At 40.7% G+C, this 24,773-nt stretch overlaps 1 protein-coding gene and 1 long non-coding RNA gene across 11 annotated transcripts in view; one reads left to right on the top strand and one right to left on the bottom strand.

The window, feature by feature from the left end:
• RARB (retinoic acid receptor beta) overlaps positions 1-24,773 on the bottom strand; it is a 768,612-nt gene that overhangs the window by 74,793 nt on the left and 669,046 nt on the right. For all 10 annotated transcript variants that reach the window (NR_110893.2, NR_110892.2, NM_001290216.3 and 7 more), the window contains one exon: positions 21,817-21,958. Coding sequence is in view for 8 of the 10 variants with exons in the window: in NM_001290216.3 (NP_001277145.1) it covers positions 21,817-21,958 (142 nt within the window). In the remaining 2 variants the exon portion in view is untranslated. The remainder of the gene's footprint in view (positions 1-21,816; positions 21,959-24,773) is intronic.
• On the top strand, positions 18,747-23,481 carry LOC124909356 (uncharacterized). The gene is made up of 2 exons (XR_007095847.1): positions 18,747-19,262; positions 21,470-23,481. It is a non-coding gene; the product is annotated as an uncharacterized LOC124909356 (long non-coding RNA).

Below are 24,773 nucleotides of genomic sequence, written 5' to 3'. Positions count from 1 at the left end.
ACCAGTGATATTCTCAATACATTTGGGCACATATTGGCTGTGATTCCACTGTGTGTTGAAAAACCGAATCCAGTTTTCAACGCATAGTGGGATTACAATAAACACATAGTTGTCACCAAATCAAACATTTCTTTGTGTCAAATACGAGCCCTTGTGACCAACAGAACTTTCTAGACAGCACCATCAAACTGGAGAACATTTAAATTATATTCTAATCAGGTGTCCATTTGTCCCTCACCCAGTGTCTACTGGAGACCAACCAGCCTGGGTCTCCTTCTCTGCGGACAGAACCTTAAGCCAAGCACCTAGGGCCATAACATACAGTTTCAAAATATACCTCAGGTGTGGTTGAAGAGGGCAAGACAGGAATGGAGATGCCCGACGGCTCTAAGAGGACCCGCAGACCTCCCCCTTACCCGGGGCTGTGCTTCCAGAATGAAATTCTGTGCCTTAATTGAGTCTGGGCCAAGCCTTTCCAGTGTTCTCTGTCTTTGCTCCTCCTGCAAACTGCCCTCATGTCTTCCTTCTCTTTACCTCCCACCTCCAAATTTGCTCTCAAACAAGCAGGCAACACTTTACTTCCTCTCAGGCACCATGAAGTGATGTAACCTGCCACCTTTCCCTGGGCAACTTCTATTTTCAGGGGATAATAAAGAAACCTTACTGCTAAATAAAGAAAACTTCAATGTTGAGGGTGAAAAGCCAGAGACAAGCGGTCTGTGTTTGGTATACAGAGGAGGGTGATGGGTGTATATTGCCACCTACTCGTAAAACGTGCCCCGCCCCCTGCGCCTACCGAAAGGTTGTTTAGACCATTCTCTTAGTTTCTCTCTTCCCAACCGCAGTTTACTGGCAAGGGACATAGAAAGTACAATTTTGATGGATTTTTAAGTCTACATGTCCATGGTAGATCCCTTAGAAAATGTAAAGTGGATAATTACAACTTCAATTATCTTCCATATCACAAATACCGGTCTTTTTCTCCACCACTTCTGCTTGAAGTATTTTGTTTTCATATATTTTCTTGAGTGAGGTAATTAACCTCTTTGTGTCTCAGGTATTTCATCTCTAAAATGATGATACTCTTTTATAGCACGCCATGACAAAAATGTTCAGAGATCCCCATATAAAAAGGTGACATATGAGAAAAAAGCAGCAAGAGAAGTCAATCTTGGCACATTATGTTCAAAAACCACTTAACAGCTCTCTCTCTACTGTATTTGGAGCAGAGCACAGTACGAATTAGGTTTCACTGTAATTATGTCCTGGAAGCAAATATGATTTTCAATGAAGAGGTTTTACTGACTCTAATTAAAGGGATGTTACAATCTATTGTCTCAGATTGTGTGATGTCTGGAAGGGATCTTACCAATTATTGCCTCAATGCCCTTGTTTTATAGACGTGCACTACCCAGAGAGGTTAAGTGACTTGCCCATGGCCACCCAGCTAGTTGGGCATGGCTGGCCCCTAGGTGTCACATTCTGGGTTCTCAGCCTAGTGCTTTTTAATAGACAGCTTCTACATTAGACTAAGGTGGATACTGTATATTCATTCCTTCCTACTGCACAGCTCTCTTCCACATTTATTAATGAATTACAGGCCAGCAGAACCAAAGCTCCAGTGGATTCTCATATCTTATTTTTTCCCCCAGAATATCCTAGAAGCTGTCAGAGGCACCAGGAATAACTCAGAAGCAGCTGTCAGCTCTCTGCAGCAGCAAAGTTCACATGTTGATTCACCCTTGAAACAGGAACGTGTGTGATGAGTTTGGATGGGAGGTGATGCTTGCGGCACCCCCGGTTTTGTATAATTAGATCTAGGAAGGAACTCTAAGAAAGATGGTTGTATCTTTTAGATGCGCAAAGTTTGAAAGCTAAGTAGGCCGGGGAAGTTCTACCGTGACAAGAGCATGTATAGCAAAGATCTCTTCACTGGAGACACGCTCTGTAGATAGGAAGTCTTGGGTGATGTGGACTTCAGGAGAAAGGTAACGCCCTTTCCTTGCCTGATGGGGGAGACCCAGACATAGGTTGCTCTGAAGGCTCTGAGTTAATAAAATTAACCACATTTATATCCTCTGTTTCTAAAGCATTTTGATTTCTCAAAGCACTTTGACAGCTTTTTGATACTCTTGATATTTTATTGTCACAAACTCCCTTAGGTGTATAAAGGGTAGGAATGAGGACTTTTGTGCTACAGCTGACAAAACAGAGGCAGTTACTGTTCTTGCTTGAAGTCCATCTTTAAAATGGGCCAGTGCATCATGCTGGCTTAAGGGAATTTGCTTTACATACCTTTTTGGTAGTTTATTAAAGGCTTCAGTGAAGGGTAATAAGTTTGTCATGAGCTGGACTTAAGTGTTAGAGCATTTCACTATATATCATGTGTGGCTATAAATGAGTGAGGTTTTATATGATACATGACTGTTCAAAGAAAAGTCATCCTGAGTTTACCTGTTCCAACGCTAGTGTCACCACTTACATTTTTCTCTCTCCTCTTCTGGAACTGCCTTCTGAGGCAATTTCTAGATAAGAAAAGCAAGCTCATTTATTCACAGTCGCTACTTATTTTATCTAAAAAAAGAGTTATCAGTTGGATGTTTAAATTCTCATCTATATGTGCTTTTAAAAGGATATAACTTCATAGTTAGTTGCATTTGTATTAGGAACCAACTCTTTTTATGTTCCCTGTACCTAAAATGACCAGATTTTGGAGACTGGGAGAGGAATAGTTTAAGAATTTTCAGTCCAGAGCTGAAATCAGAAGGTCCCTACTGAACTGTTGAGATAGGATGGTAAGGCATGTAACTACTGAGTAGCTTCTATGAACTGGATAGAAATGAAGGCTGCAGTTACAAATTGCACATATATTTGGCGTGGAACTAAACTCTTATAACCAGTGTTTGAATTAGAATAGAAAATTTTAAGAGTGAATATGGCAAGGGTTGGCAAAACTTTTTCCTTAAAGGGCCAGATAGTAGATATTTTAGGTTTTGTGGGCAGTATGGCCTCTGTGACAACTACTCAACTCTGTTGTTTAGCAAGGAGGCAGCAGCAGACAATACATAAGTGAATGCATGTGGCTGTTCCAGTAAAATTTTATTGATAAAAACAGGCAGCAGGCCAGATTTGGCTCATAGGCTGACCCCTGATTATGGTCTTTTACACTGAGGTGAATATGGATGTTATCTTCAGATATCAAGATTTCTAAATGTTTAGGAATGGATTTGATCCTCTTGGGGGAAACAAAGAAGTAAATGCAAAAACAGTATTGGCCTCAATTTTTCTCAACCATTTCTATCTAAAGCATTGTCAATGCCCAACATTACTTAGTGTTAGAAAATCAGGAAAACTGAAGTTTTATCTCAGAATAATCTGAGTTAATTCGCTTTTTAAAAGTAGCTTTTCTTTTTTTTAATCACACAAACAAATGTGCACTAAAATGATAAGTGATAAAAATACAGGTAAGCTTAAAAAACGTGGCAATAACTTTTGACATTTTGGGTTTTATCTTTCAAATCTTATGTGTTGTTACAAATATGAGATCAAACTGTGCATAATTTTGTTTTATACTTTCTAACTTAATAAATTTTTTATTAAATTAAAAAGAAATGGAACATCATTAGTCATCAGGAAAATGCACATTAAAACCACAATGAGCTACCACTTCAGACCCAGGAGGATCTCTGAAATTAAAAGACTGAAATATCAAGGTATGGCAAGGATGTGGAACAAGTGGAATTCCCATACACTGCTGATGGAGGGTAAAATGGCAGGTAGAATAACCACTTGGAAAACGAACTGCTTTTAATAAAATTAAACACGTGTCCCTGTGACTGAGTAATTTCACTCTTAGGTCTATACCCGGGAGAAATAAGTGGCCATGCCTCCCACAAAGCATGTACAGGATATTCAAGGCAATGTTATTCATAATAGCTTCTAACCAGAAACAACCCAAATGTCCATCAACATGAGAAAAGCCTATCTATAAAATAGAATGCTACTCAGTAACAGAAGGAGCAAACAACCAATATATGCAGCAACATGGGAAAATCCTACAGAGGTAATGATGAATGAAAGAAGCTAGACACAAAAGAGCATACACTGTGACTCTGTGTAGGTGAAGTTCAACAAGCAAAGCTAACCTATGGTGACAGATATTGGAAGAGTTTACCTTAATTATAACCACCACCCAAATCAAGATACAAAATGTTCCAACCCCAGAAAGCTCCCCCATGCTTCCTTCTAAGATCTTAGGAGGTAGTTTGAAGGATGCATATATTTATCAAAACTTACTAAACAGTACACTTAAAAGTCTGTGCCATTAAGATATGTAAGTTATACCTTAATAAAGAGAAAAATGTTCTAAAATAAAAAGTTGATTTCTACTTTAAAAGGGCAAATCAAACAGAAATAGACAATACCCATAAATGCATTATTTGAAGGAGAACTATTTTAAAGTATAGAATTTGAAATGGAATGAAGAGGAGAGTCAACTCTTGTTTTGAGGAAGCCATCTTTATTGTACTCTCTCAATTTCATGCCCATCGTTATTTCTTTTGGGTCTAAGGTCATAAGGATTGCCTTGCTTTTGCATGCCTTTTTATTTCAATTTGGAAAACAGATGAGATTGAATAACTAACTACCTGGAGGGATGTCCTGAGGAAGAGCAACGAAAAATGTCAAGGACATCCTAAATGACGTCTCCCAGTACTCACTTTATAAAGACCTGTGGGAAACATTCATCTCAAACATCAGTATCTAGAAAATCTGTGATTCTTCTGAACAACAAGGCTATTTTCCTCTTGTGGACACCGAGAGTCTTGTCACTGAACTTGTCCCCTTTTAGCTCTGACTACCAGAAACAATTTTTACCAAATAAGAGCCCTCATCTAGCACATACACAACTTAGTATACGAATCTGACTCCAAGGTTTACTTTTATATTTTCCCTTACATCAATTAACCTAACATTTTAAAATCATCGGTTTTTTAAAATTAAGATACAATTCAAATGCTATAAATTTGCCCTTTTAAAATGTGTTATTCAGTGGTTTTTAATATATTCACAAATTTCACAAATTGTGAAACAGTCACCACCATCTAAGTCCAGAATATTTCCATTAGCAGCCCTCCCCATTCACCACTGCTTGACAACTTCTAGCAACTCTGAAGTTACTTTGTGTTTCTATGGATTTGCCCTTTCTGGACATTTTGTATGGATGATCTCATAGAATATGGGGCCTTTTGTGTCTGGCTTCTTTCACTTAGCGTAATATTTTCAAAGGTCATCCATGTCGTACCATATATCAATATTTCATTCCTTTTTATGGATGAAAAATATTCTGTTGTAAGGATATATCATATTTTACTTGTCTATTCATCAATTAATGCATATTTGGGTGTTTCAGCTTTTTGCTATTATGAATAATGCTTCTATGAGCATTTCTGTCAACTTTCTGTGTAGATACATGTTTTTATTTCTCTTGAGTATATACTTAGGAGTAAAATGAATGGGTCCCATAATAACTCTCTGTTTAAGTTCTTGAGGAACTGCCAAACTGTTTCCCATAGTGGCAATGTACCATTTATGATCCCACTAGCAGTGTGCGAGTGTCCAAATTTCTGTACATCTTCCTAACATTTGTTATTGCTCGTCTTTCTTATTACAGCCCTCTTAATGGGTGTGAAGCAGCATCTCATCATGGTTTTGACCTGCATTTCCATGATGACTAAAGATGTTGAACATCTTTTCATGTATTTATTAGTTATTTGTATATTTTCTTTGGTGGAATGTCTACTCAAATCCATTGCCCATTTTAAAATTGAGCTATTTATCTTTTTACTGTTGAGTTGTCATTTTTTTCACATTACTTTTGTAAGCCTCATTGTATTCATTGAAGACAGCAACAAGAGATAAATATATTTCTATAAAGAGGGTGAGGGTTTCCTAATATTTGCTCTTGCAGAGATAACCAACCCCATTAGTTTTGATATTTTAGAAGTGACATTACATATTTTCAATCAACTTGTTAAAATACCATCTCATGAAACCACAAGTTGTATGTCTTTATGTCTAAATTTCGAATGCTGGATTAATTGCTCGTACTCTGCAAACTGGCATTAGGGAAGAATTTGTCATTTTTACTGCTTTCTTTTCTGCCGTCAGTATATATTAAACACTTTTAAAAAATAAAAATAAAAGGGACAAGGAAGCTGGACACAGTGGCTCACACCTGTAATCTCAACACTTTGGGAGGGCGAGGTGTGTGGATCACTTGAGGCCAGGTGTTTGAGATCAGCCTGGCCAACATGGCAAAACCCTATTTCTGCTAAAAATACAAAAATTAGTTGGGTGTGGAGGTGTATGCTTATAATCCCAGCTACTTGGGTGGGTGAGGCACGAGAATCACTTGAACCCAGGAGGCAGAGATTGCAGTGAGCCAAGATTGCATCACTGCACTCCAGCCTGGACGACAGAGTGTGACCCTGTCTCAAAAAAAAAAAAAGACAAGGAAATAAAGATGAACCTTTGATAAATCTAGAACTCACAAATAAATTACTCTGATGGCTTTTTTTAACTAGGTTGCCTATTGTACCAGCCAAAACTTTTTGTTAACTTCCCTAAGCCAGTCTCAATTTGATTATTCATTTGAAGTCCCAGTTCCCTTTAATGAATGAATCAAAATATAAAGCACCTTGCTTTTTTTAATTATGGAAAAAAGAATAATTAGCTAATTATTAAACTGGAATCCACATAAGTTCATAAATCACATCTTGAACACTATATTTCTAAAAGGAACATACTGCCACTACTGATAATTTAACACTTAGCAATAACAATTCTTACATTATCTTTTTTTAGCTGTTTATTATCTGATGGGTAAAATAATTTTTCAAATATAACAAGTTGTAAAGAAATCCCTGGCCTGTTAATTTGGAGTGCATAGCCCTAAAAGAAAAAGCTAGTTAGGTGGGTTGATGCAATTTGGGGTATTAGATAACCATAGTCAGGGAACTAGGAGTAGATCATGGCCCATAGTGCATTTCTGGTGCTCCTTACACATTCAAAGCTGAAGTGAAAAGGGTCTCAAACCAGAGGAAAAGGCAAAATGCCAAGATGTTAAAACACTGCCTGAAGAAATGTTAAGGTATTAACAGGAAGGAAGATTCTTCTAATGAGAGGTATTACTCTTCTTGATGATAACACAATTTCTCTATGCACAGGAAGAAATGGCCGTTCCACTACTCCATATTTTAATCTTTTTCCTTTTCACCGAGGTATAAAATACACACATAGTTTTGCATGTACATATCAGATTAAAGTTTAGAATGTCCAGCACCCCACAGGGATTCCATGTGGCTCTTTTGAGTCAATACCTCCTTTCTGAGGGTAACCACCATTCTTCTCATTATCATATAGACAAGTTTTGCTCATTTTAAATCTTTAAACAAATGGAATAATATAGACTGTTTCTTGTCTCTTGTTCTAAGTTCTTTCACTCAATGTCATTTGAGTTCATCCATGCTGTTAGTTCTTTATTACTAAGCATATTCCATGATTTGAATATGTCACAATTTATTTACACATTCTACTGTTGACAGACATATGGGTTTGTTCCCCCTCCCCCCCAGGATTGGACTATTATCAATAAATCTGCTGTGAACATTCTTGTATGTGTCTTTGGGTGGGTCCATATTCTCATTTCTATTGAGTATGTTCCCAGGAATATAACCACTCAGTCATATTGGTATGTTTAGCTTTAGGAGATACTGCCAAAGAGTTTTCCAAACTTTGGCTTGATTTATACTTCCACAAGCCACACATGAGAGTTCCAGTTGCTTCACATTTCACAAACATTTGCTATTGTCAGTCCTTTTAGTGTCAGCCATTCTGGTGGAGTAAAGCACCACACTTCAATCTGATGGATGCAATTCTATTTTTAAGGAATACAATGCCACACAGAAGGCACTATTTGTAAAAACAAAATGGGGCTTTGCACTCCATAGACCTGGACACCGTTATTATCCTTAAGAATGTGGGGAAGGCCATCTCCAAGAGTTTCCTCAGCCCCAAGAGACAGGAGGAAGCCCTGATGCCTTTCTTCCTGAAATAACTCACTCACTGCATCCATTAGAGTAGGGTGGGAGTACATTCTGAGACTGCATATTTGCAGATTTCTGAGAGCTGAAAGTCCAAGGACACAATATCCAAGTTTCCATTCAGTTTAAAACTACTCAAACATTGTGTCTGGACACTTTCAGGACATAAAGTGGGACTCCTTCACTTATTACCTTTCACTTGATTCTCTTCCTGTCCTCCTTAAATCTCTTGAGTCCACAGAGTTTACTAGAAGCAACTTTTATCTTTCCCTTTGGAAGGGCCATATCATGACTGGCTCCTAAATGGGTCCATTTTCAAACACTAGTTAAGTTCCTCAGTTTTATTTTAAGATTTAAACAATGTTGCTAAACCAAAATATTGTTTAGAAGTCAGACCAACTGACGTTATAATCCCCTTCCCCCAAAAAAACAAGCAAAGAAAAATGGAGGAGTTGCATTTTCCAATATCAATAAAATATTTGTGTCCTAAAATCATTTTGAAAATGAAAGGAGCAGATTTTTTTTTTTTAATCATGGAGGTATTTTACGCTTGGTAAAATGAAGTGTCGGAACAATCAAGTGTGTATTTTGGACAAAAACTTTCCTTCTCCTGAGAAAACAGGGTGTTTGCTTTGCTTGGTCCCAGTACTAAAAGATGCCTGTCTTCATTAATCTAATTCATCAGATAATTGCTCAACTCTTTGTTTTCCAGCTGTAAAGGGAGAAGGATGAAAGAAATAACCTAACCATGACAGTTAATATTTTGTGATAGCAGAGGGAGAAGAGATAGAGTTTAAGTCCTTGATACCACTCCAGGAGGAGCAAATTCCAGACTGTACTCTATGCAAGGATTTACTGAGCGATTTAGGTAGCCACTCTCCTGAGAATTGCTGTCACTGGGAGAAGGTACTTAAAGGGCCATGTTCATTGCTCCAGAACACAGGGACTGCAGGAGAATTTCAGGTTGCTATTTTTAGGGAGACATTTGTTTCCAAACAAAGGGCTCTCTGCCAGCTATTTTAGAAGCACTTGCATATTTATTCAGCCAACTCTCTTTGCTGGGGATTGTCTTTGGGCACTAAGGTTTTATCAATGTCTATTTAAAGCAGAATAAAAAATAGCTCAAGATGAAAACATACAATATTTCCAGTTTAGAATGTAAGGCACTTCCTTTTTTCTTACAGGGTTGAAACCAGATATCTGGTTTCTCCCTCTCTCCCTTCCTCTCCCCCTTTCTGAAATTGCCACCTGTCTTACAATCTGAGTGTGTCTTGGTTTAATAGGCACCGTTTTCCCTTTTAGTGGTATACAAAATAATAGTGCACCTTAAGAAATGATCGATTTGATGAAATGTGTGTGTGTGTGTGTGTGTGTGTAGTTTTGAGAGAAAGTAAATCTCTGTTAGGACCTATTTACAAGCTTAATCTGTTTACATCCACCATGGAAAAAACAGCATTGGGATGTCATGTCATGAAAGGGGTAACATGCTATCACTCATATGGTGCAAAGTGGGAGAGGAGGCAGAATGGGAAAGGTAAAAATGGGCTCATGATATCAATAAGACCTAATGTTTTCTTGGGCTTGTATTTCACTTTAAGTTCACGTGTTCAAATCTCTTAACTCTTGGAAGATCAGACAGAAGTTCCTGATTCAGAATCCCCAGTCCTTAGGTACCCTTTTCTTTCTTTTCTTCATTTCTTTCCTTTCTTTCCTTCTTTCTCTCTCCCTCTCTGTCTCTTTCTTTCTTCTTTGAGATGGAGTCTCCGTCTGTTGTCCAGGCTGGAGTGCGGTGGCGCGATCTCAGCTCACTGCAACCTCCGCCTCCCAGGTCCAAGCGATTCTCCTGCCTTAGCCTCCTGAGTAGCTGGGATTACAGGTGCATGCCACCACATCTGGCTACTTTTTTTTTTTTTTTTTTTTTTAGTAAAGACAGGGTTTTACCGTGTTAGCTGGGATGGTCTCAATCTCCTGACCTCGTGATCCACCTCCCAAAGTGCTGGGATTACAGGCATGAGCCATCGCACCCAGCCGTACCCTTTGCTTTCAATTCATTCCAGAAATATCTATTAAGTACAAGGCACTAGGCTCACAATTAAAGATATAAATAAAAACCAAACTCCATACTTGTTCTTGAAGCACCCCCAGCCAGTGAGGGACCTTCTGTGCGATGAGTTTTCCCTCTCTCAACACCTATACACACACACAGACACCAAAAGCTCCTGGACCACCCAAAAAACAGTTTGACTCTGAAAGTCATCTCAATAGAGGTGCCACTAACACTTCATAGCATGGAGAGGCAAGAGTGACCCACACACACTCCTTGCTGTTAGAAAAGTGTGTCGCGTGTATGTGCGCATGCCTGCTCATTTAGGAAGAAGGTGGCTTCAAGGAGGAGTAGGGAGGGAAAGGCATTGCAGGCAGAGAGAACAGCAGGCACCGCCTAAGGATGCTGTGTCACATGAGAGGACACCGAGTGGTCAGTGATGGCTAGTGTGTGGCACATTTGGGGGCACATGACAAGAGATCAGTGTTGGACAGGCTGGGGCAGCTGTGCAGGGCTCTCTGCCCATGCTAACACATTTGGACATTTGGAGTTGATTGTGTAAGCGATGAAGTGCCATGAATTCCAACATCAGATCACCTGGCTCAGAGCTGAAACTGCTTCTGGCCCCATCTACCCATCACCTTGCTTTGTGGGGGTAGATTTGAGTCCCAAGGACATGTACTTCTTGTTTTGAGTAAAGGGACCACTGGGTCGGAAGGAGCATTAGCTGTCCTGTACAATCACTAAGGACCGCTGATGAATGAATACACCAATCTTTAGAGACCAGGATGGCTCAGTATCATAACAGATACCGGAACAGTAACAGGAGCTAACGCTTAGCTAAGTACTGTTTTTAGCCCCTGCCATGTATTAATTCATTTCCTTCTCACAATAGCCACATGAAGTAGGTACTATTACTCTCTTCATGTTACAGACAAGCAACTTGGTGTACACAGATGTTAAGTGACCTGCCCAAGATCACACAGAGCTAAGTAAGTGGTGGGCTGGGGTATGAATCTGACTCCCCCTTAAGTCCAGGCTTTAAGCAGCATACTGCATCCCTCCATCAGTTCCCCCGGATGCTTAAAATCCACTGTGACAGATCCACCCATTCATTGACCCCTTGTTTTATCAGGAAAGGTCTAAACCTTGAGGATGCAAAAAAGCAAGACCCTCCTTCCCATCCTCAAGTTGTGCACAGAGTTCAGCATGTGAGGAAGGGTTAGCGGCAGGCAGTAAGGCAGGGGCATGTCAGTGGGATCTGACCAGCAACTGAGGCACTACAGAGACTCTGAGAGGGCTCAGGCCACAGCTGCAGACTCTGCTTCTATTCCTAAGATACAAGAACATATAAAACCAGTGTTTCTCAAACTTCAGTCCTTTGAAGTACTGCCTTCACAATTTTGCACATATTCACAGGCTGCTACACACTTAACGATTTCTGTCTCAATTGATTTTTTTTCTTAAATAAAATTTAGAGGAAATGTTTGTATTACTACTATAAAGGGGAAAGGGGTGTCATTTGCCATAAATAGAAAGGTAGGGTAAAAAATAAACAGGGTTGGCTGGGCACTGTGGCTCACACTTGTAATCCCAGCACTTTGGGAGGCTGAGGTGGGCAGATCACGAGGTCAGGAGATTGAGACCATCCTGGCTAACACGGTGAAACCTGTCCCTACTAAAAATACAAAAAATTAGCCGAGCGTGGTGGCGGGCGCCTGTAGTCCCAGCTACTTGGGAGGCTGAGGCAGGAGAATGGCGTGAACCCAGGAGGCGGAGCTTGCAGTGAGCCGAGATCGTGCCACTGCACTCCAGCCTGGGCAACAGAGCAAGACGCCATCTCAAAAAAAAACAAACCAAAACAAAAAACAAAAAATAAACAGGGTTTTCAGGTCAAGTGACTGTGTTTGTAAAGTTTTATTGGAACAAAGCCATGCTCAATTGTGAAGCTCTGAAGCTGCAATAGTAGAGTTGAGTAGTTGCAAAAAAACACCAAATGGACTGCAGATGCTAAAATATTTACTGCCTGGCCTTTTAAGAAAATTTGCAGACATCTGAAATAAATACATTTCAGTCCTACCTAGGGATTGTTGCCATCTGTTAAAAAGACAGATTAGCAGAGATTCAAGAAATATTAATTAAGGCTGTATTGGCATCAAACTGAGATTTTTCTCATTGGTAATAAAAAGACAATAAATATTGGAAAGGAAAATCTTTATCATTAAATGAGTTCATACTGTCTTATGCCAAGTTCAATATTCCCTAAAATTATATTTCATATCACAGTGTGCAGTTTACACTTAGGGAAATACTGCATTAAACTAGTATACACGTTAAATCAAACCACATAATTATAGATTTTTTTTTTGAGACAGGGTCTTGCTGTGTTGCCCAGGCTGGAGTGCAGTGGCTCGATCTTGGCCCAATGCAGCCTCTGCCTCCTGGGTTCATGTAATTCTTGTGCCTCAGCCTCCAGAGTAGCTGGGATTACAGAGGCTCACCACCATGCCCGGCTAATTTTTTTGTATTTTTAGTAGAGACAGGGTTTCACTGTGTTGCCCAGGCTGGTCTCAAACTCCTGACCTCAAGTGATCTACCCACCTCAGCCTCCCAAAGTGCTGGGATTACAGGTGTGGGCCACTGTGCCCGGCCTGTAATTATAGAATATTTGATGTGGGAGCGAATACAGGTGAAGATACTGAAAACCGTGTAGCTTTAAATATGTGCAAGAACTTCATTGTTTAGAGAAGCAAAGGGTAGTTGAAAGGATGCTGGGAATTAGAATTAAGACCCATGGGTGTATACCAGCTGTGTGACCTCAGGCAGGTCTCTTACCCTCTCTCAATCTCAGGAAACTGAATCAGAATATGATTCCTGTCCTATCTGCTGCATGGGATAACCTGAAGTCTTGGGGCTGTTGCCATTAGTAAAGCCCCTCATGACCATGAACTACCACAGCACCACTGATATCCTCCCCAGCTTTCCTCTCAGGTGGCTAACAGCAAAAGCAGTCTTGCTGAGGAGGCCACAGGGTGGACAGGAGTTGGTTGGGAGAAGGGACATGACGGATCTGGAGGAAGGCAGGCCACAGAGTCCCAAATAAGGCAGAGGAGAGATGGAAGGTGCCAGATGAGCAAAGAAAGGCAGCTGCTGGGAGGACGGGGAAGGGGAAGGGCAACTTTGTCTCTGTGGCGATTTAGCTTGGGCTCAGCACTGCTGGAAGACCCTGATGGCCTCACCTTGAGCTGACTGAGGAAGGAAGGGGGCCAGGCGTCCTTTCTAACACCCCAGTTCAGTTTTCTCCATGGAGTTGGGTTCCAGGATACCAGGATACTCTCCCATTCTCTGATTACACATGTCTCGGCATCTCTGGGCAAATGAGCCACCTGGCTCCCGGTTTAAGTAGCCAAGAAAGGTGGATATTTATTTTAGAAACCATGCTTGCAAACTTTATTTTTAAGGCTGTGACATAATATTTGGAGCTGCACTTCTAAGCTGTGGTGTTCTAAACAATTCAAAATGAATAGAGTCTCTACTTTTAACTTTTCTCCTGAAGTATAATCAAGGCTGTAGCTATAATAAAACACAGCTGTGGCAGCAGCAACAGCGGCAACCAAACTGTGTCACCAAAAGAAGCAGTAGCAGACAACCACTCTCATTCGGCACTTACTATGTGCCAAGCACGGTGCTAAATGCATTACCCCATGAGTCCAATCCACAAAACAATCCTGCAACATTTCTGTGATAATCTCCACGCAATGGGTTAGTTCATTTCACGTGAAGCAAAATTTTGCCATGTGCCCAAGTTGAGATAGCTAGAGGCGAGGGCTGCATTTGACCTCAGCTCAGGCTAACTTCAAAGCCCTTTGTTCTTTGCCCTGTGCTGTTCTATTGTGTAATGGAAATTTCTCATTTTTCTAAGGTGAGAATGTACTGAGTGTCCCCTCTCCAGGAGACAGGCAGTGGGGAGAAATATATTAGTAAAGCTGAAGGAATTTTAATACTTCCTTTTCAGTCTGAGTGTTAATGGGCTTTGAGTCCCACAGTGGCACTGACATCACCGGGCTGCTGGTACCCAAACATAATTTTTTTTTTTTTTAAATCTCCTAAACAGATGCAGGCAAATATTCATATTTGGCAAGTAGAAAGGGGCAGCAGATTTTTATTTTCCAGCTTCTAGGACATTTTTAGGTATAAAAGTAGGAAGTTTCCAGCCTTTCACTTACTTTTGGGGGGCTCTTCAGGGATTTGTGTGCCACAGAGCAAGAAGAGAAGGTGGGGGTTAATGGTAGTTTCTGGTGAACAGAACAAAATGATCACAGTGAACCCTGGAAGCAAAGTAACAGGCTGGGATCTAACACGGGAACAAATGAAGAAATAAACTAAAATTAGAAAGACATTAAGTGCCCTGATGATGATTTTTATGTAATTTCCCAACTACACAGTGCAACCTACAATATGAATTTCCCTGTTATTAAGCCAGTAAAATCCAGCAGTAGAACCAATGAGCACATCAATATAATTTGTGCACAAGCAAAGGTGATTCTAACTGAGGTTAAGTGCCTTTAGTCCAAAAGGTTTGTTTTAATCTAAGTTTAACAGTAAAGGGGAAATGAGAGAAACACAGAGCAACAAAATCCTCCCACAGAAGTATCTAAGTGTCCATACAAAGCACATTCATTCCATCCAATCGACCCATGGGGACGTTCATGTCTAAAGTATAAATTGGAATTTAGAGACTTTATGAAAAGCTGTTTTTAAGCTCAATATGCCCCAAATGAGAAGGTGTCAATGAGTGCTTAGGGACTTTTAAATTCAGAGATTATTCAATTGCTCTATTCTACAAATACACTTATGAAACTGTCATAGGAAAAAAATGCTGTGAAATAAACATTAAAAAGCATTCTCAAACAAAATCAAAGACATGTTTTGCCCATCACTCAAGGGCATGGGCACATAAACATAACCTCAAAGAGCAATACAAAGAGGCTCCCTGTGTGAATTCACGGCCAGTGGTTTTCAGAAAGAAAGGAGCTGGAATGAGGGGGTGGCAGCAACAGTACCTTCCATGGTGTTTCTGTTACAGACACAGGGTAGGGGCACCCAGTCTTGGAGGAGGCCAATGACCCATGGGAACCTAGCCTAACCTCAGGGGCATCCAGGGTATACTACTCTCCCTTCCTCACAGCACCCGAGTCATAATTCTGGCCTACTTCTTGTCTTCCATTTTCCTTCTGACCTCCTGACCCCAGTGTCTCCCCTATCCCTGGACCCCCTTCTTTGATAGCTAAGGTTTGGCAAAAGTAAGGTCCAAACCCCAATACATGTCCATCTTTGCTTCTCCCTCTTAACTGGGCTTCTGTCATGCACAACTCCCCAAGACACCTGCTCAGCTCAGCCTTTTTCACTGGCAAAAGCCCTAGAAGATCTAATGTCTTCTGGGGGAGGGAACTGGGAAGAGGAAGCAGCTTATGGAAACACTGCTGTCTAAACAGGATTAAAAGCATCAATTCTCATGTCACGCCTGGGCTGTTAGTCAATACCAATGTTTCTCTCATCCAGGTAGAAAACACAGCCTCCAAGAAGTTGAGTAACTTGTTCTGGGCCCCTAGCAGATAAACGAATGACTGCGATTTGAATACACACCTAGAATTGTTTTGCCTCTGACAACTTTTCAGAAAGTAAAGCCAGGGAGAAGATGGGTTTGCCTTTAAAACTGGTCACATTTAACCCCTTGATCAATCTAACTTCACCGAGCAAAGCTTCATGCTATATTCAGGGGCTACAAGGTGAGAAAGACATGATGCATGCCTTTTAAGAGTTTATAATCCAGCCAGGGAGACTCACTGGTGTGTGAAGAATCATACTATCTGTATAATATAATAAGTTTGCGGTTCATGGAGCTTTGTGCGAAGCACTGTGAGAAAACAGGGTTGGGGAGGGAAGAATGAATAATTCTGCCTAGAGTGTGGAATGAGGCTTAGGGGAGGCTTCAAAGAGGAAATGACATTTCATCAGGCTCCTGGGGTTCAACTGATGGAGAAGGAGGTAAATCCTCAGAAAAATGGAGACATACGGCTCATAAGTCAGCATGGTGTAGTGTGGCTGGAAGCTGGGTGTGTCTACTGGTAGGGGAGAAGCATGGGATGGGATCACAGAGCAGCCCTAAGTGGCATCCTTGGCCACCGGATGAGCCACTTAAAGCAGACATTGGCAAACCATGGCCTGTGGGCCAAACCTAGCCCTTCATCTGCTTTTGTAAATAAAGATTTACTGGAATATAACCACACTTGTTTGTTTATATTTTCCATGGCTACTTTTGCGCTATAATGGCAGAGTTAAGTAATGAAGACAGGGACAAATATTTTCTTTTTTTGTGAGACAGGGTCTTGCTCTGTTGCCCAGGCTGGAGTGAAGTGGCATGAAAATGGCTCATTGCAGCCTCAACCTCCCAGGCTCAAGTGATCCTCCTTCCTCAGCCTCCCGATTAGCTGAGTAGCTGGGACCACAGGTCCACACCATCACTCTCAGCTAATTTTTAAAAAAATTTTGTAGAGTTGGGGTCTTGCCACGTTGCCCAGGCTGGTCTCAAACTACTGGGCTCAAGAGATCCTCCCATCTCCTTCTCACAAATTGCTGGGATTGCAAGTGTGAGCTACTGCACAGGGCCTCAAAAATATTTTCTAAAATTTCTAACATCTTTTAAAAAAGAGCTGGTTTTTTTTTTTTTTTTTTTTTTTTGAGATGGAGTCTCACCCTGTCGCCCAGGCTGGAGTGCAATGGTGCGATCTCGGCTTATTGCAACCTCCGCCTCCCAAGTTCAAGCGATTCTCCTGCCTTGGCCTCCTGAGTAGCTGGGATTATAGGAGCGCGCTACCATGCCTGAAGAGCTGGTTCTTTTAAAAAATGGTTTGCTGACCTTTGGCTTAAAGATCTGAACTATTCATTTGAATTTCTGTAACTGACTTAAATGCATATGATCAGGCTTTCTAGGGCTTTACTCCCATGGTTTCTAAACAGTATCATCTTAAATCTTCTTTCCCATCATGGACCATTAGCTATTATCTATACCGTAAGCTTGTCTGGACATTTCTTTCATAATCCAAATGTTATGCCTTCATTTATTGTTTCTCTTTTTCATTAATTGTTTTTATTTCAGGGCTTTGCCACATGCTTTCCTCTTCTGACATCATTACAAACCTCCCACGCCACCAGCAGAAGTTCATCATTCGAGTCAGTTTGCTTCCTTTGCCTCCTTCTCCAATTCTTCATAAACTATTGTACCACCTCTTTAGAATGCTGCTAAAAATCGAGTTTTTTTTTCACTTGCCATTATTCTATGCTTTGACAGACAGCTGTTTCTCTGCAAAAAGGCTTCCCTAGTCCTATAAGCCCTTGGAAAATACAAGGTATACCCAGCAGCATTTACAAAACAGAAAAAAAAAAAAATGAAGAAATAAGCATACTGTTCTGATAGGCCACGTTAAAGGATTTCTTTTACTTGTAAATCCCCTTACACATGTAAAATCAAATTTGATCTATAAAAATTAAATTTGCACATGATTTTCTAGGGGATACATCTCTAATATAGAGCAAGGAGCATGGTTATTGTTTTATTAACCACTGGCAATAAAATAGAGTGGAAAAAGGAACTCGGAGTTTTAAACGCTGCTTCCTATGGCACGCAGTATATATTTCAGTTTGAATATAGACTTTCTCATCAAACTGCCTGGTTCCAAATCTCAGCACTGCCCCTTACTAACTGTGTTACCTTGAGTAAATTAATGTCTCTGTGTCTCAGCTTCCACATCTGCCAAAAAAATGGTGGGACCTGGGAAGGAGGAATTGTAACTAATCTATCTCATAGGGTTGTTATGAAGATCAATGGGATAAAGCATTAAAAGTGGTTAATGCAGGCCAGGCGCGGTGGCTCACGCCTGTAATCCCAGCACTCTGGGAGGCTGAAGTGGGTGGGTCACCTGAGGTCAGGAGTTCAAGACCAGCCTGGCCAACATGATGAATAGCCTGGCCAACTTGATGAAACGCCATCTCTACTAAAGATACAAAAATTAGCCGGGCGTGGTGGCAGGCGCCTATAATGCCAGCTACTTGGGAGGCTTAGGCAGGAGTATCGCTTGAACCCAGGAGGTGGAGGTTGCAGGGAGCTGAGATCACGCCACTGCACTCCAGCCTGGGTGACACAAAAAAAAAAAAAAAAAAAAAGTGGTTAATGTAATACTTGGCACATAGAAAATACCCTGTCCAGTTAGCTATTACTATAATGATTCTTAAATTTTCTCAGTTTTATCCTTCTTTTTTTCTCCCACAGCATAAAGAAGAGTGCCTTGGGAACAGCACTGTGGGACCTGACAAATCATGGTGGACATGAGGTCATTTTTGCCTCCTGTCTTTCTGATTCCCCTCTGAGGAACATTTTCTTCCACACTCCCCACCCACATGGTTTGGGTGAAGTCAACCTCAATCCTGGGCTGTAGATATTGACACATGATCCAGACCTGGCTAATCACAATATTCTATCCCCTGCCCAAAGCAATGCCCTGCTCAAAGCAATGCGTTCACAGAAGGGCACATGACCCAAGTTAGGCCAATGAGAATCTGTCCCTAGGCTTTGATGGAACAATCGGGATCTAATAGTCTCTCTTTTTGCTGGGTCAATAGATTAACAGTCTGGAGCTGTTGGTGCCCTTCTTTGTTAGACATGGGGAAAATCTTCCTGGGAATGAAGCCAGCACAGCAAAAATCAGCTGTGAGAGACAAAGAGAAACAATGCCCCAAAAACAAACATGTGCCTTTGGATCCAGCATATTACTCTGGACTGTTCAGTGACATGCGTAGAGTTGTGTAGCTTAAGCCAGTTTGAGCTGGGTTTTCTGTCACTCTCATCTAAAGGATTCTGACACATACAGATGAACTGACATGTCCTATGGCTAGAATGGAATGTGAATCTTGCTAATCTCGCTACTTCAGAGAAGGCATGGGGAGGAGAGGTGGCCGATTTCACTGTAGTCTTGGTTATGTCTTCAGCCAGTTGGGACTGCTGGGAGAACCGTGTCATCTTTCTGAGTCCTAGTGTACTTGTACGTCAAATGAGAGAGGTGAGTGAAAATCAATCTCTAAGATCCCTTTTCACTTCTAACATTCTATGAGTATCTATTATTCTTGGTTTCATTTCAGTTGCGTATACTGTGGTATAATTGGTTACTGATTCTCATATTTGCCTGCTTCCTTCTGTTTCAACTTTAAAAATATCCAATTAGACTCTCAATCTCTACATTCCAAGTGTTTATTTCTTTCCCTTCAATTTCCTTCTAACAAAAATACATTTATTTTTGTGTACTTGGACATAATGATCCCATTTTCTTCCCATTTCTATATTTTTAAATCTAATTAAGGTGATAAGCTCCTTGAGGGCTGATGCTGGAGTTTTCCTGTGGGTGTAAACATTATTTTTTTTAATTGCCAACCAAGCTGCCAGTTTTTACAGAGCAGCAGGATATGGGTTTTAAGTAATGTAAGCAGGAAATGGGTCTCCAGCCCACACAAAATAATGCAAAAGTACTGATTTTCCCTGAGTCCACATCTGGCTTACTCATTTATAATTTCAGCCTGAACTGAAATTCTCCCACAGAAATGCTGTGTGCCATCCATGTCTACAGAACATCAGACCAAAACTAGAGCAGAAGGTGATCATCCCGTGAATCTCACACATAGGAATAATCTGGCTATTTCAGGTTATCCTGCTTTTCTCTTCAGTGGAAGGATTTAGAGCCTGAGCCAATTGAATGTTAGCTTCCTATCTTCAAATGTATGGATTTTGAGTAACTCAATGGCTCTAAAATTTGGAGAGAGGGAAAGGAACTGGATGAAAAGTGACCCATGATCTGCAGATGGAATTGTCCAGAGGAAAAAGAGCTTCCCAGAAGGAATGGCACATGCAGGATGCTTTCCTGTCTGATGACCCAGTCCATTCTCATTCATGAGGACTCTAAATATTAACAAGACACTCATTCCAAAAGCTGTAATGGGTTCTTCTTGGCAGATATAACAAAACGACCTGGAGGCAGTGGTTTCATAGGGTTGGCTGGTTCAGTAATTCAATGGTGCTATTAAGGGCTTGATTTCTGTCTTTCCACTTTTCCATCTACAGTGCATGCTTTGTCCTACAGCTGACTTCCCTGGGGATTGGAGGATGGCCACCAGGGGTACTTGTGGCTACCTGTTTCCTTGTTCACATGGATGGAGGGAAGGGTACTCCTGTCCTGATATTCTACGCACGAGTCTTGAATTCCCTCTCATTGAACCAGCCTAGGTTACATGTTCACGCATGCGGCTGGAACATAAAATACACTGATTGGCTTTAATTGACTGAGTGGATCCCAGCTGTGAAGCTTTCTCTGAAACATTGAAACCTAAGGGGTATAAAAGAAAACTAAAATCTGAGTACAGTTAGGAAAGGTGAAGGGGCAGGAGTACAGTTAGGAAAGATATCTGGGTGGGCTACCAACAAACATCTGCTACAATCCCTGAGCAATAGCTCCCAGCAGAGGGCAAGATTCCCAGCTGAGCACCCTCAGAGTAATGCCTCTGGTTGGCTACAGGGGCTTTACCTCTTCAATCAGTTTTCACCCAAGGGTCACGTTTCCCAGTTCCAACATCTAAGAGCCCTTGATTCATAATGTAATTCCTCCAACTCCATTAGAGGATCATGATTGGGGTGCCTGGCTCTTTATCCTATGCTCCTGGAGGGCAGCAGCCATGTCTCAGGTATCTCTAGGGTCCCCACGCAGCACCCAGCCCACTGCTCACATGTGCACAGCACGCCATCACCAAAATCCCCCCATGATGGAGTGACAGAAAGAGCAGCAGCCCCACAAGAGCATCACTGGGCACATAGCCCCATGACCTCCCTATGCCTGCTTGAGCCAAGCCATCCACCTAATACTTTCTTATTCCCTACATTTGTACACATCAAATAGAGAAAGAGCGAAATTTGTTGCAGTGTACACATACTCTTTTTATACTAAAGCCGGTATATTTCAAATCCCCATCATCAGATATTTATGGACCAGTAGCCAATTTTTAATGTATTTTTAAAATATCTTTTGCACTAATAAAGTGCATTATTGTTTGGAAAAGATGGCTTGGAGAAGAAAAACGAAATCAAGTTTGGAAAAATGCCAGTGTCCCAGATTTTGAAATGTTTCTTCCACAAGTTATACAATCCTTCCCTCCTAAAAAAGGGCAAATTATGACTACTGTTAACATTCATGCCTATCATTTTATCTTATCCTCACCGATACAGGCGAAGATCCTTATACCCATTGTCAAGATAGGGGAAATGGAGTCACCGTGTGACTGTGTAATATGCTTGAGTTACTGCTAATGGCTCTGGGATCCACAGTGAGTTAGCCACTGCTTTGGAATACAAATCTGACATCCACGACGCCTAACTCCTGCCTTTCCACCAACTGTCACTCAAGTTTCATCTCAAAATCTCCATATCAATCCCCATTTTCATGTCATCTCTATTCACACCTACCCTTGGCAAGATTTCGTTAGTGTCGTGTGTGAATTCCACATGACTGTGGAAGGTGAGCAAATCACAGAGATAAGGAAAACAGGGAAAAAGTTTTTTGAGACTCCACTTACATTCTTTGGACATTCCCACTTCAAAGCACTTCTGGAGTCGACAGTATTGGCATCGATTCCTGGTGACTTTATTAATAACACAGTTCTTATCTCGGTGACAAGTGTAAATCATATTCTTCTGAATACTTCTGCGGAAAAAGCCCTGCAAGCAAGCAAGAAGATGAAAAAACTCAGTAAAGCAAATGAGCTTCATCAGAAATCAAAGCCAACCTTATCAATGCATTAATTGCTCTTTTTGAGTAACGAAGTGATGGCAGCAGAAAAGTTAACTTACATAAACCTTAAAATCCTCGTGAGATATCAATAGTTTCTTCCTTTGTTGCAAACCCAAAAGCCCCTTTTAATCAAAACTAGACATGACCATTATTATCTTGCTAAAGGAAAGTTAATTCCAAGCTGATTTACTTGGAAAACACCAGAGTTGGGTTCCCTCCAAACAGGCTTAGCTTCATAACTGGCTCCCTTGCTGACGAGAACAATTTCAGATGAGCGCACTACCAAGAAAACCAATATATGAGGATTTTTACCCAATAAAAGAAATTACTGGCTGGGTGCAGTGGCTCACTCCTGTAATCCCAGCACTTTGGGAGGCTGAGGCAGGAGGATCATTTGAGGTAAGGAGTTTGAGACCAGCCTGGCTAACATGGTGAAACCCTGTCTCTACTAAAAAATACAAAAATTAGCAGGCACAGTTGTGCGTGCCTGTAATCCCAGCCCTTGGGAGGCTGAGGCAGGAGAATTGCGTGAACCTGGGAGGCAGAGGTTGCAGTGAGCTGAGATTGTGCCACCGCACTCCAGTCTGGGTGACAGAGTGAGACTCTGTCTCAACAACAACAACAACCAAAAAAAAAAAAAAAAAAAAAAAAAAACAAGAAAAGAAAGAAAAAGAAATTATTTGCCTAATGCAAGAGTTAGTTTTTTCAAAGGAGTCTTCTCTGAGTTCTTTTACATAGCTCCTCTCACAACATTTAAAATACAATTTAAAAAAATTATCCAAAATTGGAAACAAGAAATAAAAATGAGTGTCTGCCCATTTAATGGCATGTTAGAGCTATGTCGTCCAACATGGTAGCTATTAGTCACATGAGGCTACTTAAATCAAAATTAATGAAAAGTAAATAAAATTAAGAATTCAGTTCTTTAGTTACATTAGCTACATTTCAAATGCTGAAGAGCCACATCTGGCCCATAGCTACCATATTAAACACCACATATACAAAATATTTTCATCATTGCAGAAAGCGTTACCGGGTAGTAATGTACTACAGCACTGACTGACAAGCCCATCGAAGTGTCATCTAACACTCACAGGAAATATAACTTTGTTTGACTTACTTTTTACTATTGATTGGACCCAGATTCTATACAGACTGTAGAAAATTGGTAAATTACACATAATTTTTGTCTAGTGTAGGTGCAAAACATTTCTGACCAGATGAACAATAACCCCAAATATTATTGTTTTATTGCCCTGTAGGAAATGAACCATTTTGTATCTAGCTTTGCAATCTTATTCCGGTATTCTCTTTTCCTTCCCTCCTTTCTCTCTCGTTTTCTATCTACCTGAATATCTTTCTCATATCCTCCTTTAAACCAGCTTTGTCATCCTACTATTCCCTTCATCAATGAGTTAAATAAATTTTTGGCATGTGTTTACTAAACAAACACTTGAAAGAGTTTTTTGCTTTTTAACTTTTTGAAAATCACATTTTGACAAAAGAAGCAATTTATCCTGATTTTCTGGGAAACACCGATGAAATAAAGCAGACTTCAGGCTCCAGAAGAAAGGGTCCCCAACTTCCTCTTTGTCTTCCCCGTTTCTACATACAGCTTTGCAGACAATGGATGATCAAGTGATGCTTGCCGAATACACAGATGAAGGGTATACCTGCTGCCTTTTCTCTCTTCTGAATGCCCAAGAAAAACTTCCACATTGCTATGAGTATTAAGAGTGAGGAAGTCTACTTTACCAGTTGTGATGTGACTTATACCTACACGAGAAACTACTCTCTTGAATGTAAGAAACACATCATCAAATGTGTTGAACAGAAACTAAGCCCCACCATCTGAGTTCAACTTTCCCTGCAGTACATTAACACTGCAGGAGCCAGAGCTAAGAACGTTCAAAGCTAAAGCACATTAGCAAAGAATGCTCATGTAACACACATTGCTTAGGATACTTACGTGGGCACCCTAGGATTTTAATGTCTAAATAAGCATATTTTTACTGGCATGGTTCAACTATAAGTGCCTGGAAATCTTGTTTAAGGTTGCAAGTCCTGTCACATATCCCAGACACACACATTTTCCAAGAAAACACAGTTTATTTTTGTGCCACTGGAACTACAAATGTGCTTAGAATCTAAAATAACAGGTTACAAATACTGTGAAATCCTCCCAGAATCTGTGCAGAGTGGTCATCTAAAAACATATCTTTCCCTACAAAAAATATAACTGTGGGCCACTTTCTGCTGCCAGATGTAGAAACTCAGTTTACAGAAACCTCCATCGCTCTTCTGCCGAGAAACATTAACACAATGGAAAACATGGTCTTTTATATACGTGGGAAGAAAATGAGGTATGGACAAAGGTGACCCCCTCCATTTATTTTATTAAAAACCAAATTTTTAGTTCAGCAAACACTTAGTCAGTGACCAGAAAGGAGAGAAGAACAATCTCACGATGCTCAAATGAAAGAAGACCAGAGAATTAAAGAACTTTATGTCACTAATTGCCCAGTCAGTGTGATTCAGTAACAATGATGGCAGAAACTAAATAGGACTTCTTGGTTTTCCAAATCAGATTTTTGGCTGGATTTCAGGAGAAGGTCTAAGTTTCAGTAAATCATTTCCACCATGCTAGAATACTTGCTGGCTAAAATATATGCTATGAGGTATTTTTATACGTGGGTTGAGTAAACAGACGTGCCCTCCAAGCCGAATAGAGGTTTGCATCAT

The sequence above is a fragment of the Homo sapiens genome, chromosome 3, assembly GCF_000001405.40.
Source record: "Homo sapiens chromosome 3, GRCh38.p14 Primary Assembly".
In the NCBI taxonomy this organism is placed as follows: domain Eukaryota; kingdom Metazoa; phylum Chordata; class Mammalia; order Primates; family Hominidae; genus Homo; species Homo sapiens.
Note: the sequence above shows the minus strand (reverse complement) of the source record. Positions and strands in the feature narration are given on the sequence as shown.